Source organism: Homo sapiens, chromosome 2 (assembly GCF_000001405.40).
Source record: "Homo sapiens chromosome 2, GRCh38.p14 Primary Assembly".
Classification (NCBI taxonomy): domain Eukaryota; kingdom Metazoa; phylum Chordata; class Mammalia; order Primates; family Hominidae; genus Homo; species Homo sapiens.
In genome coordinates this window covers 178,621,007-178,634,962 of record NC_000002.12, presented here as the reverse complement: position 1 = coordinate 178,634,962, position 13,956 = coordinate 178,621,007, and the positions used below count along the sequence as shown (strand labels likewise).

Sequence of the window (13,956 nt, the reverse complement as noted above, 5' to 3'; positions counted from 1 at the left end):
GCTTACTTTTATTAGTAGTAATTTTTAAAACTCTATAGAAATTTGTATCTGAAACACTTCTCCTATAGGGAATTTATCTCTTTCAAATGGTTACTAAAACTATTGTTTTTCAGACTTGTGAAATCAAAGCAGAAGGTGGAAAACGCTTCTTAACTTTGCACAAAGTCAAACTGGACCAAGCTGGTGAAGTCCTCTACCAGGCCCTTAATGCAATTACAACTGCCATTTTGACAGTAAAAGGTATGGGGCTTTTAGAATTTGGGGAGGGGTCTCAACTTTATTTCACTTCCCTGTGCATTCTGAAAAGCCTCATTCTTAATGTCTGATTTTCAGAAATCGAACTTGACTTTGCTGTGCCCCTGAAGGATGTCACTGTTCCAGAAAGGCGACAGGCTCGATTCGAATGTGTCCTCACCCGAGAGGCAAATGTTATATGGTCCAAAGGACCTGATATAATTAAGTCATCTGACAAATTTGATATCATCGCTGATGGAAAGAAACATATTCTTGTTATTAATGATTCTCAATTTGATGATGAAGGGGTCTATACTGCTGAGGTGGAGGGCAAGAAGACCTCAGCTCGGTTGTTTGTCACAGGTAAGCGAGCTAATGAGATCTGTGACATCCCATAAAGGCATGCAAATATATGACTTTAAAGATAGGACGCCAAGTTCTAAAAGCTGTGATAATGCATCACTAATTAACTTTCACAGTGTTACCAAAACAACCCCCCTTAATTTGTTTTTAGTGGAGCTCTATTTGGAAAGATGAATAAATAAGTGCCATGTGAAATGGGTCCCTTTTACTCAGGCAGATTAGAATGGAATCTTTCTGAAGGTGAATTGTGTTTCTGAGGCATTATCTATGCTTGCATTTCAGGTATAAGACTGAAATTCATGTCACCTCTTGAAGATCAAACAGTAAAAGAAGGTGAAACAGCAACTTTTGTTTGTGAACTTTCTCATGAAAAAATGCATGTAGTCTGGTTCAAAAATGATGCCAAACTCCATACAAGCAGAACAGTACTCATCTCTTCTGAGGGCAAGACTCACAAATTGGAAATGAAAGAAGTGACATTGGATGATATATCTCAGATAAAAGCTCAAGTCAAGGAGCTGAGCTCCACAGCACAGCTGAAGGTCTTAGGTAAATGTAACCAAGTATAACCAGATAGCCAGTTTCTGAATCATGGGAGTGGGGAGTAATAAAATATTTTGCAACCTTTTACTCTTTAATAAACTTTAATTTTCACATTCTTCTAATTTTATGCTAAATGTCTTTTACAGAGGCCGATCCCTACTTCACTGTGAAATTACATGACAAAACTGCAGTGGAGAAGGATGAGATTACTTTGAAGTGTGAAGTGAGCAAAGATGTACCAGTGAAATGGTTCAAAGATGGTGAAGAGATTGTCCCTTCACCCAAATATTCTATCAAGGCAGATGGCCTGCGCCGCATCTTAAAAATCAAAAAGGCGGACCTTAAAGATAAAGGCGAATATGTGTGTGACTGTGGCACAGACAAGACCAAGGCAAATGTTACTGTTGAGGGTGAGTTGCTCAACAATGTAAAATTTACCCTATCTGAATCTGCAGTTTATTAGTTCAGTCATGCTAACAAAACTGTATCATTTCAGCTCGACTAATAAAAGTGGAAAAGCCTCTGTACGGAGTAGAGGTGTTTGTTGGTGAAACAGCCCACTTTGAAATTGAACTTTCTGAACCTGATGTTCACGGCCAGTGGAAGCTGAAAGGACAGCCTTTGACAGCTTCCCCTGTAAGTCAAGATTAGCTAATTATATAGGAGAGGGGTTGCTTGGTTGTGTAGGGTGAAAAAAGGCATAAAATATCTTGATGATTTGTAGGAATAACTATATAAATGATGTTCTTTCTTTCCTTCTAACCCTCACTCCAAACAGGACTGTGAAATCATTGAGGATGGAAAGAAGCATATTCTGATCCTTCATAACTGTCAGCTGGGTATGACAGGAGAGGTTTCCTTCCAGGCTGCTAATGCCAAATCTGCAGCCAATCTGAAAGTGAAAGGTATGCTCTACTTGTCAGCCACGTTTTTGTATTTTCTCTGCAAGACTTCCTGATACACCCCTGCATTGATCAAGGGTCATCAATGGAAACGTATTCTGACTTCATCCACTGTCCACTTCTTTCAGAATTGCCTCTTATCTTCATCACACCTCTCAGTGATGTTAAAGTCTTCGAGAAAGATGAGGCTAAGTTTGAGTGTGAAGTATCCAGGGAGCCCAAAACATTCCGTTGGCTAAAAGGAACCCAGGAAATCACAGGTGATGACAGATTTGAGCTTATAAAGGATGGCACTAAGCATTCAATGGTGATCAAGTCAGCTGCTTTTGAAGATGAAGCAAAATACATGTTTGAAGCTGAAGATAAGCACACAAGTGGCAAACTGATCATTGAAGGTAAATAGTTTTATCAAATAGTCCACCCCAAAATCATTTTTTTTGCCTTTAGTTTTATATTTCTTCTTTAAAGTGCTTCAATTAATAAGTTCTTTCTTTTTTTTCTTGATAGGAATCCGGCTCAAATTCCTCACCCCTCTCAAAGATGTAACTGCCAAAGAGAAGGAAAGTGCTGTATTTACTGTGGAGTTATCTCATGATAACATCCGAGTTAAATGGTTCAAGAATGACCAGCGCCTACACACCACCAGGTCGGTCTCAATGCAAGACGAAGGGAAAACTCATTCGATCACATTCAAAGACCTGTCTATTGATGACACCTCCCAAATTAGAGTAGAAGCTATGGGGATGAGTTCAGAAGCTAAACTCACTGTGCTTGGTAAGTGCTTTTTAAATTTTAATTTTACTGCATTAAATTCAACAGAAATTTGTGGAGTATCTATTCTATAAAATAGTCTTCTAAGTGTTATATTGCATGAAAGCAGCCCAACTCCTTAAGAAGCTATCACATATGTAATCAGGCTTATTTCTAAAACACTTTACCTTCATTACTATAAGTTAATGAAGATTCTAGCTTACACCCACAAAATAGCCAATTAAAAGCCAACTTAAAATTCTTCATTAATTATTGAGCCCTGTCATGTTTAAAATAGGAGTATATAAATACTTTCTATCTCTTCATTTTATCAAAATTATTTCAGAGGAATGTTTTTCAAGTTTCCCATAAGAGAAGATATTACATAATTTACATTAATAAGCCTCATTGTTTTTCTTGGCCACCTAATATCAACAAGATTAAACATGAAGGCTAACATATATAGACATGATTAAAGGCAAACTATTAATTGATTAAGAAAAACTAACAATGTGAACCTGAAAGCTTAAAAGTAAACTAGACATAATAGAGTTGCTAAGAATTAGAAATTTACCCAAATAATGGAGGAACACAAAATTGTATTTGAAGCTAAATTTCAGTCTTTTTAGCTACTGTTAATAAAATGTTTCAAAATTCAATATGAATGGATTAGATCTTGATAAATCCCACACACTGATTCCCTTCCTAATATTTAGAGAACTTTTGAACATAAACAGGTTAAATGATTGAACACTTGACACAATTTTAAAAGATACTCAGAACTCTGTGAGTTGTGTCTTAAACTTTCCAAGAGATTGTCATTTCCCTAAGGTGATTAATAAAAGCTTTTCACTTATACTTTACTTGCAGAGGGAGACCCATATTTTACAGGAAAACTTCAAGATTATACTGGTGTAGAGAAAGATGAAGTTATTCTACAGTGTGAAATTAGCAAAGCAGATGCACCAGTGAAATGGTTTAAGGATGGGAAGGAAATAAAGCCATCCAAAAATGCTGTTATTAAGGCAGATGGCAAGAAACGCATGCTAATCCTAAAGAAAGCCTTGAAATCAGATATTGGACAGTACACCTGTGACTGTGGGACAGATAAGACCTCAGGAAAACTTGACATTGAGGGTAAGGAAATTTCCATGAGTTTCACTCTTGAAGCATTGGGGTTATTTGTGCCAGAGGCTAATGACCCATGCTGGCCCTTCACTTTTCTAGATCGGGAAATTAAACTGGTGCGACCCCTGCACAGTGTGGAGGTGATGGAGACTGAGACAGCACGCTTTGAAACCGAAATCTCTGAAGATGATATCCACGCCAACTGGAAACTCAAGGGAGAGGCCCTACTCCAAACACCTGTAAGGCTATTTCTGAACTTGTCAACACCTAAAGGAGCTGTGTGAATTAGAAAAGAACAGGTGAAAGTCAGAGTGGATGCAGGACATTTAAAACATGATAGCAGTTTCTCTATCAGACCCTAAGCCAAAGAGAGATGTCAGGGTCTATGAATGGGCTCAGACTGGCACACTTGCATTACTTTTGATCCAGCAGAGTGAGTATAAGGTTGTAGATACTCTGTGATGCTGCTAGTTGGCTCAGAATTATACAGCTAAAATAAATGTGGCTTTCCTCTTAGTACTTGTAAGCTTTACTTCCTAAAAAAAGAGCTCAAAGTTATATAAAGTTTCATCACCATTTATTTGTTGCATTCCTTTAATTAAGATAATCTATCCTTAGAACAAAATTTCAAAGAAAATTATTTTCTATGAAAGTTTTTCTGTTTTGTTGGTACAGGATTGTGAAATTAAGGAAGAAGGCAAAATACACTCCCTTGTTTTGCACAACTGTCGCCTGGACCAGACGGGTGGGGTGGATTTCCAAGCTGCCAATGTTAAATCTAGTGCCCACCTCCGAGTTAAGCGTAAGTATTGTATATTTTTCAGGGAAATTAAATAAACACTTTTTCAGAAAATGAATGTGAGTGAAATTAATTGGACCTATTTTATTAGTTAGAAAATATTATTAAAACACAAAAACTGGCTCTCTTGTATTTGCCACTTTGACATTCCAATACAGAAGTGGTTCAAATCGTAAAGTTTTGGAAATTTTGTTGACCTTGCCATTTGAACAAAAGAAAATTTAGCAAATCAGATTTTCCTGCTCTGTAGTCCTCTCATTGAAAGTAGATACACATACAATGAGAATCTAACTCAGAACCCTTAAAGACCACTTCCCTCAAGTGGCTGTGCAACTAGAGCACCAGAAAGACAAGCTTTGCTGTGTGGGCATTTTAGATTCAAGAAAGAAGGTGGGAAGCATTAGGCTAACGTTTCTGGAAGGTGCAAAGTGTTTGATGGATAGGGACAGCCTCTGATTGAGGGCCCCTTGTCCTCTCCCAATCAGAGTCTTAGTTATTTTGGAAGTCACATACCTTATGTAGCAAGAAGAACTTGACGCCTGGCAGAGAGACAGATGCAGCACAGATTTCTCGCTGACCTTGTACGTCAGAACGAAAGGGCCCCTACATATACTCGCTCTCTGGCTACCAGCTCTCCCCTTCTCAGCGCCGTGGGGCCACGTTCACGTGGGAGTTAAAATAGTGGCCAGTCCTGTGGCTTCTTGAAGAAAGCAACCATGAAGATTCATATCTAAGTCTCTATTTATTCTTTTGGGATTACAAAATGAGTAACGCAAAGCTGTTTCTTCCCTCTCGAAAAGCACGAGTAATTGGTCTTCTGAGGCCTTTAAAGGATGTCACCGTGACTGCAGGGGAAACAGCCACCTTCGACTGCGAGCTCTCCTACGAAGATATCCCAGTGGAATGGTATCTCAAAGGGAAGAAACTAGAGCCCAGCGATAAGGTAAAAAGCAGGCATGCCTTGTCTTTCCCGTTCTTTTTCTGGAGTTCTTCCACCTTCACTTGTATGTTCCTTATTCTTTGCTCTTTCTAATGTCTCTTCCTCTGTCTTTGCCTTTCTCTTTCCGCCTTTAGCCTGATTTCTGCTGAAACTGTAAAGCCAATTTTTTGCATTTTTTCTTAGGTTTAACCTGATGATTTTTTTATTGAAATTGAAATAAATTTAAAGTATGATCATGTTTTAGTTTTTTGAAGAAAAGACAAGACTCATTGACTATGAATGATAGTTTGATTAACCAGAAGGCAGGAAGGATCAAAAAGGCTTTCTGATTGCACGCTCTGCAGCCATGGTGCACATTAAGTTTTAAGACTAACGCTCTCCATCCTATTTAGTGTTCTGCATATAAGGGGATTAAGAGGAGAAGACTGAAATTCCATTTCGGGCAGTTGATCAAGTAGTTGAGATAACTTCTGGGCAGATTTGCTCTTCAAGCATTTCTCCAAAGCTATTTTTAACCTTCAAGTGCTCTGGGCTGTGCGATATCTGGAATGCAAGTGGACTATTTAAAGTGCAACTGATGGTACTGACAAGAAAGAAGGGCTCTGTGGTTATCCACATATGTGGATGAAATATTTTTTTTAAGCTTTGGTAAATAACTAGCTCCTGCTTTTAGCTTTTACTAACATTCTTTATGCCCAAGATTTTACCCATAAGTAAAAACTAAGGGATTATTCAGATAGGCCCACAATACAATTTGCCTAAATTGATCTATATGTTTTGTCCCCAGAAACAACATATGTCTTTAAATTATCTTGACAATCCATCATTAATTTTGAATTCTTAAAATAAAATATATGGAATATGTCCAGCCTGGGTTGGAAATAAAGCACAGGACAGTACATTGTTCTGTGACATATTCCCCCAATATTTCAGAAATACTATTAAATGTGCTATAAAGATCTCAACAAAAATCAAACTTTGAAGACTTAAAGGAATATAATTAAAAAGTGATTCAGTTTAACAAAAAGCCACAGCATTGACTGAAGTATTTGAAAGCAATGCCTTCAAGTAACTGCTTTGAAACAAACAAACAAACAACAACAACAACAACAAAACTAGTATTCCACTAAAGTGATTACAGGGTAATTCACCAGCAGTCATCTGATAGGTAACGCCTGCCTGTTATACAGATAATAAGATCTTCTTGGTCTCCTTTTCCAGTGACCAGAAAAAGCAGCAGTACATTCCATTTGTAGCATGGGAATTAAGTTACATATCACAAAACCTTCCTTACAATGAGGTCTTCTAAATATTGAACTGAGGGAGGCACCTCTACCTTCAAGCTTATTGTTTGAAAAAATATATTTTGCCTATCATGCATGATTTAATTAACTTCATGTCTAAAGGCAGAGAATTGGTTGCTTTTTCAAGATTCTTTCTAGATCTGCAAATTCATGATTTATATATAGGAACACTGCTTAAAGACAAATGATATTATTTTTTCATTACCAAATATCTTTTTGTCATAGTAAGAGCTTCTTATTAAAAGATCAGTCTCAGTTCTAATACAAAAACTGCACTATTTTAATTCAAATGTAGACTCCTAAAAATCTTATTCACATTTTATTTTTAAAAAATTCTCATTGTAACTAAAATTTTTTCTAGGGTTAGAAAGGATCAGTTTACTATAATTCTATAGGGCCCCTTTACATCTCTTTTGGCATAGGAATTTTAATCCTTTACTCTAGGCACCCGAAATACCTTAGCCTTTTGTGAACTTGCTCTTGCATTACTTAAATGTCTCTTTTCAAAAAGAACTTAAATATAAACTTTGAAGTAATAAAATCATTTTGTTACATGTGGCAGATTTTGTTTAAATTAAGTCTGTCAGAACAAACTTGCTCTTGTCAATGTAATTCCGAACTTTAATACTCATTTTATGTAAAAATTTTCGCCTTCAAAACTACAATAACCAAACAAGCAAAAACAAGCTGTAGGAATAGGAAATATGAAGAGAAACTTGTAGACATGAGTTGTTTGCATTTTTTCTTTGTTGTTGTAGTTGTTTTTGGCTGTCAGTTTAAGAAAGGACTGCCAAGTTCCAAATGGCATTTGATAATTTTAAAGTTAAATTTTAAATTTGATAAAATTAAAGTTTAAATACAAAACTTTAATAGTTTTGTCATGGTCATAAGCCTACCGTATTATATTAATATGCTTCCACTATAAATAAATATTTTTAAAATCTCTAACATTATTCTTACAATCTACTGCAAAATCTTCAACATTCATTTCATTGGTTTATTTTTATAAGGCACCTACCAGTTTTCCTTTTTTTTCTTTTAACATAGTGGAGGTAGATTGTATACAAGCTGTTTATTGAGACATACTGCATTCTGAGCAGTGTCCTAGAGTAGCTACAGAGGAACTCAGATGATAAAGCAACATAATATTAATAGATAAAATATATCTGTGGGTGGGTTAGAAACTGAGACACCTTTTCAAATAGCCAAAAGTTGCATGCCAAAATTTATACTGAAATGTTATTAAAAAAACAAATTTTTCCCATTTCAGCACCATGCCCTCGGATAAGTAGCTCTGTTCCAAGGGCATATTTAACTACCCCCTCCTAGCTGTTATTTTTCCTTATTATGTTTTTTGGCCACTCTCAATTATTAAGATAATTATGTGACTAACCATGCCCAGTTCTTAATTAAAGAAAACACTTTTAGATGAAACCTTATTTCTGATTCTTTTCTTTACACTAGCATAACAAATAGTTCCACTGGTGAAAAACTTTACATTATTTTTAACGCTAAGTAAACTCTTAAGCAGTGCAAAATCAGTCTGGATGACAGGGCACAGCTTCTTAGGAATTTTATATCATAGAACTGGAAGAACCCCCAAGTCTCTTATCTTTGCTGTCAGAATGACCCCTATCTGTCGCACCATTGACATCTGATTTTCCCATTCCTGATGCTTAGACACATGAAAAAGGAAGAAGAGTCCAACTTTCATTTGCAGTTTTGAACAAAATTAATAGGTTGTACAAATTATTTAATCACAGGTTTAATTGGTTTGCAAAATAAGTTTAATTGCTAAAATAAATGGGAAGAAGAGTTATAGCTTGTTGTTGCATGGCAAACACCTTACATACAGAACATAAGGTTTACTTTTAGCTTGCCATAGCTGATATTTTCTTTCATCCTTTCATGAATTCGCTTTTCTAAGTTCTTCCTTTATATGTATATAAGCCCAGGGGCAGAATGGGGGCACACATATATATACACATATACGTATATACTATATGTGCTGTATATCTACGCATATGCAAAAAAGACCACAAATGTAAACAGAAACTGGCCTGGGCAATTTCAATGTGAAAGGCCACCTAGTAATTATATAAAGGTAACTATGAAACCCTAAAATTTTCTTGAAAGATCCCAAACTGCATAGTATTCCATGGTGTATATGTGCCACATTTTCTTAATCCGGTCTATCATTGTTGGACATTTGGGTTGGTTCCAAGTCTTTGCTATTGTGAATAATGCCACAATAAACATACGTGTGCATGTGTCTTTACAGCAGCATGATTTATAGTCCTTATACCCAATGCTAGATGATGAGTTAGTGGGTGCAGGGCACCAGCATGGCACATGTATACATATGTAACTAACCTGCACATTGTGCACATGTACCCTAAAACTTAAAGTATAATAATAATAAATAAATTTAAAAAAAAGATCCCAAACTATTGGTTGAAATGATTTTTGAATGCATACGTGCTAAATAGATGATTATAAAACAACTTGGAAAGCTCTATTTCCATTTATTTTTATCTAAATGAATTAAATGCACCCATATACTAGATTGCTGTTTCATGTATTCTTTTTTTAAAAACAACTAGGTGGTCCCACGTTCAGAAGGAAAAGTTCATACACTTACTCTGAGGGATGTAAAGTTAGAAGATGCTGGGGAAGTCCAACTAACAGCAAAAGATTTCAAAACTCACGCCAACCTCTTTGTGAAAGGTAATTACAAGGCTTATTTTAAAAACATGTATAAGGCAGAGGCTCATGAACAATGCCAACTCTCAATTATCTTTATATGATGAGTACTATAGATGTTTAAAATCAACCAAATAATCAAAAGTCTGATTTTACTTTTTAGCATAACAAAATAATTCACAGACTATCTTTTTAAAGAGCCAAAATTGACTAGCATAGGTTTTACTTCCTCCTTCCATCTCTATTGTTTTTATTGCACATCCTAGATTTTCAAAAGCCAGCTGGAGGAAGAATTATTATCAAGCTAGGTATCCATCACTTTATTAACCAAGAGTTGGCTGTTATTTCCTTAATGTTTCCTAGTTTTTAAAAATGATTTTCCTCTTGTCTGTACAAATAATGATAAAATATCATTTTTAGAGGAAAATGTCTGAGTGTAATCAAAACTTGAAAATAAAACTTAGGACAGAACAAAGCCCTGGAGATGGCAGGGGAAAGTTGAGAAGGTACCAAAACTCTTGGAGAAGGAAAGGAGTACCTTGGCTAATGAGTATGATTCTTTCAGAACCCCCAGTTGAATTCACTAAGCCTCTTGAGGACCAGACGGTCGAAGAGGGAGCCACTGCAGTGCTGGAGTGTGAAGTCTCCAGAGAAAATGCTAAGGTGAAATGGTTCAAAAATGGGACAGAAATCCTCAAAAGCAAGAAGTATGAAATTGTTGCTGATGGCAGGGTCAGAAAACTTGTTATACATGACTGTACCCCAGAGGATATTAAAACATACACTTGTGATGCTAAGGATTTTAAGACTTCCTGTAACCTGAATGTCGTGCGTAAGTATTCTTCTTACAAAGGACTTTTCATTTGCAATTCTTTAATAACTACAACAACAAAACAACACAACACTTTTTGCATGCCCTTCTTGGCCTAACTGCATTTCTTGGCAACTTCTAGTATTGACACTGACCTAACCTGATCCTTTATGTGTTTAAAGAAAAAAAGAAAAGAAAAGTCTTATTCTATGTCTGGTCTGATTAATGATGGAGCAATCACTTTTCCCTATGCTTCTTTTCTCTCACTGAGTAGTGAGTAGATGTGCTCTTTGTCTACATGGGGTCAGCCTACTGTATGGATATCCTGATATGGATGAGGAGAAACTGAATTTTAAAGATAAGTAGGGAGTCCTAATTTTAAAAACAAAGTAAAAGTGATTTCCATGTGGAAGGAAAATGAATTTTCAGGTGTGGGGAACAACTAGAAAATGAGCATGAAATTTCAGTCTGAATAGGAGCATACTAGAGATCTGCTGTAATATGACAAAGCACATTCACATGATTCAATCTCTGAGAATAAGAATGGATAAGAAGATGGAGTGAGGCCCTGGATCTTTTGAGTCCTGGACTCTTTGAATGAAGAGAACTCTAATGGTTTTTAACATTACTTCTTCCTCTGGTGAAAAATGTAATGTCTTTTTTCAAAATGCCACATACTAGCTTATTTGTTTCATTCATTCCTTTGTCCAGTGATGACATTTTTCTGCAAATTTTTTGTGCAATATTTGTTTGTTTGGTTTGGTTGCTTCCCATCTGTCAACAGCTACAACCTAGTGACTCTGTGCTTCATGCATCTTGTACCATGTTTTTCTTACCACTTTGTGGTTGCTCTGCTCAAGCTTATGTCAAAGTAGCTTCTTGGGTCTCCTTCTTCACCTTGACATCTACCTTCACTCCAAGAAGGCTCAGCTGCAAGGAGCATATTTTCAAACCTATTAGACAGCATTTGTCTCAGAATCTTATTGCTCAAGAATGGTCATCTTGGGAAGGACTCACAGGGAGCTCTGAAAGAAGGAAGGGCAAGGGGGCAGCTCCCTAATCCTATACACCAGCTGAATTAATTCTACAGATGAATGAAATAACAGATGTAAAATCCTAATCACCCTCCCATACAAAACACATTGCTTTATTGCACTAATAGATGTTATGCCTGACTTATATGTGACGTCTTCAAAGCTGATTTTTTTAAAAAGCTAAATGTATGTTTCAATTACAGCCTCATGCCTCTTAGCCATACACAAGGCTGGCCATAGTGCTTCACGTGTTCTATCTTTGAATTCTGCTAATTTCTCAAAGATTGTGCTAAGTGCCTTAAATAAGACAATGTTTCTTTGCCACTGGTGTCTGAAGTTTCCTTTGACATTATCTTTCAAGTCTGGTGCAGTGCAAATGAAGATTTTTCCTCCAGCTATTATTCAAAAGAACTGAGATGGCTCCCTAGTATATATACTGTACACACACACATGCACACTAGTTGAACATATAGAATGCCACATAATTTTATGTAAACTAAAGAGATATCTAAAAAGCAAAGCATCATACCTGATGGGCAGCTTCAAGTGATTTCAAAGTCAGTTGTAGTCTATTAAGATGGAAAATCCCTAAAAAAGAGTCACTTTTTCTTAATGTATACTATGGTAATGTCAGAGTAAATTTCCAGAAACCTCATTTTGAATTCTGATGACATTCTCTTACAGCTCCTCATGTGGAATTCTTAAGACCACTCACCGACCTTCAAGTTAGAGAAAAAGAAATGGCTCGATTTGAGTGTGAACTTTCCCGAGAAAATGCTAAGGTCTGTGACTGTATACCTGTCATCTTGTACTGTCAAATAACTTTATATTTACTTTTGGTCTAGCCAAAATGGAAAAAAAAAAGTTAGTCACAACTTCTCTGGTCACCACTTTACTTTTAAAGATAATTGTAGTATAAAATGTATTCTTGACTTTAATTGCTCTCTTTTTAGTATTATTAATTTACTATTACTTGAAAAACACTGGACTCACAATCAGGAGATTTAGATATTAGTTTGAACCATATGAAAGTGCTGTTTTCTTAGATCAGAAAGTCAAATATCAGCAATTATATTTCTTTCAACTAAGTACCTCCTGTTGCTATTAACTACCATTGGCAAGTTTCTTCAAGTCTGAGCCTTAGTTTACACATCCAAGAAGTTAGTCTGCATAATGTCTAAGGCTCACTATAGCTCTAAACTTATATGATCCCATTGTTTTTAATAACTGATAATAGTATCACAGCAGCTAACTTAACAGTAATTGGTAAGATTGTTCTTGCTTTTGGGGTTTGTTTATATTTGTGTCTGCCACCTTGGTTCTTCTTCACACTATGAAGTCTTGTTGGTTGCTTTCAGAAAAACTCAGGATCATAGTTTTTCTTAAGGACACCTGTGTGAAGGAACAACAAGAAAACTGATAATCTATTTATCTTAAATATAGGTTAAGTGGTTTAAAGATGGTGCTGAAATTAAAAAGGGCAAAAAATATGACATCATATCCAAGGGAGCAGTGCGCATTCTTGTCATCAACAAATGTCTACTGGATGATGAAGCTGAATATTCCTGTGAAGTAAGGACAGCGAGAACTTCTGGCATGCTGACAGTTCTGGGTAAGAGTAAAGTCATTCTTTGTGAAGTATATGTGTTGGGAAAAAATAATAATTTCCAGCTTAACTCAATGTGGTTTTTGTTTTTTCAATGCTTGCAGAAGAAGAAGCTGTCTTTACCAAAAATCTTGCCAACATTGAAGTTAGTGAAACAGACACTATAAAACTGGTTTGTGAAGTCTCCAAACCTGGCGCAGAAGTGATTTGGTATAAAGGGGATGAGGAGATCATTGAAACAGGAAGATATGAAATACTGACTGAAGGACGGAAGAGAATCCTGGTCATTCAGAACGCTCACCTTGAGGATGCTGGCAACTACAACTGTCGACTCCCAAGCTCTCGAACCGATGGCAAAGTCAAAGTACATGGTATGAAAACTACAGTGAATAATCTTTTATTTCTAACAATTCACACTTGCTAGATTTAAAGTACAAAGACATATGTTTCTAATATCTTGTAACTTTTTCTTCCCAGAACTGGCTGCTGAATTTATCTCAAAGCCTCAAAACCTTGAAATACTTGAAGGAGAAAAGGCTGAATTTGTCTGCTCTATATCAAAAGAAAGCTTTCCAGTCCAGTGGAAGAGGGATGATAAGACACTTGAATCTGGAGATAAATATGACGTTATTGCTGATGGTAAAAAGAGGGTCCTAGTTGTGAAAGATGCCACATTACAAGATATGGGCACTTACGTTGTCATGGTAGGGGCCGCCAGAGCAGCAGCTCACTTGACAGTCATTGGTAAGTTTGTTCTTGCTTTTAGGGTTTTTTGTTTGTTTGTTTGTTTTGTATTTGTATTTACCACTTTGATCATTATTCATACTATAAAGTCTTGT

General features: G+C 36.2%; 1 protein-coding gene across 21 annotated transcripts in view, besides 2 other annotated features; it reads left to right on the top strand.

Annotated features, from left to right (window-relative positions):
- TTN (titin) overlaps positions 1 to 13,956 on the top strand; it is a 281,435-nt gene that overhangs the window by 172,461 nt on the left and 95,018 nt on the right. For all 21 annotated transcript variants that reach the window (NM_003319.4, NM_133437.4, NM_133432.3 and 18 more), the window contains 18 exons: positions 114 to 240; positions 334 to 597; positions 880 to 1,146; positions 1,287 to 1,550; positions 1,637 to 1,776; positions 1,919 to 2,045; positions 2,171 to 2,437; positions 2,550 to 2,816; positions 3,663 to 3,929; positions 4,020 to 4,159; positions 4,596 to 4,722; positions 5,520 to 5,662; positions 9,567 to 9,690; positions 10,232 to 10,498; positions 12,196 to 12,293; positions 12,955 to 13,123; positions 13,222 to 13,488; positions 13,595 to 13,861. In NM_003319.4, the coding sequence (NP_003310.4) occupies positions 114 to 240; positions 334 to 597; positions 880 to 1,146; positions 1,287 to 1,550; positions 1,637 to 1,776; positions 1,919 to 2,045; positions 2,171 to 2,437; positions 2,550 to 2,816; positions 3,663 to 3,929; positions 4,020 to 4,159; positions 4,596 to 4,722; positions 5,520 to 5,662; positions 9,567 to 9,690; positions 10,232 to 10,498; positions 12,196 to 12,293; positions 12,955 to 13,123; positions 13,222 to 13,488; positions 13,595 to 13,861 (3,592 nt within the window). The remainder of the gene's footprint in view (positions 1 to 113; positions 241 to 333; positions 598 to 879; positions 1,147 to 1,286; positions 1,551 to 1,636; positions 1,777 to 1,918; positions 2,046 to 2,170; positions 2,438 to 2,549; positions 2,817 to 3,662; positions 3,930 to 4,019; positions 4,160 to 4,595; positions 4,723 to 5,519; positions 5,663 to 9,566; positions 9,691 to 10,231; positions 10,499 to 12,195; positions 12,294 to 12,954; positions 13,124 to 13,221; positions 13,489 to 13,594; positions 13,862 to 13,956) is intronic.
- Positions 7,435 to 7,635: a silencer, noted in NCBI's record as "peak3948 fragment used in MPRA reporter construct". NCBI's record gives its function as "represses an SCP1 promoter by STARR-seq MPRAs in K562 erythroleukemia cells {active_cell/tissue: K562}" and the evidence as "EXISTENCE:reporter gene assay evidence [ECO:0000049][PMID:32103011]".
- Positions 12,714 to 13,913: an enhancer, noted in NCBI's record as "BRD4-independent group 4 enhancer chr2:179485777-179486976 (GRCh37/hg19 assembly coordinates)". NCBI's record gives its function as "activates an origin of replication core promoter dependent on BRD2, P300/CBP, MED14 and CDK7 cofactors, and independent of BRD4, by STARR-seq in HCT116 cells {active_cell/tissue: HCT116}" and the evidence as "EXISTENCE:reporter gene assay evidence [ECO:0000049][PMID:35650434]".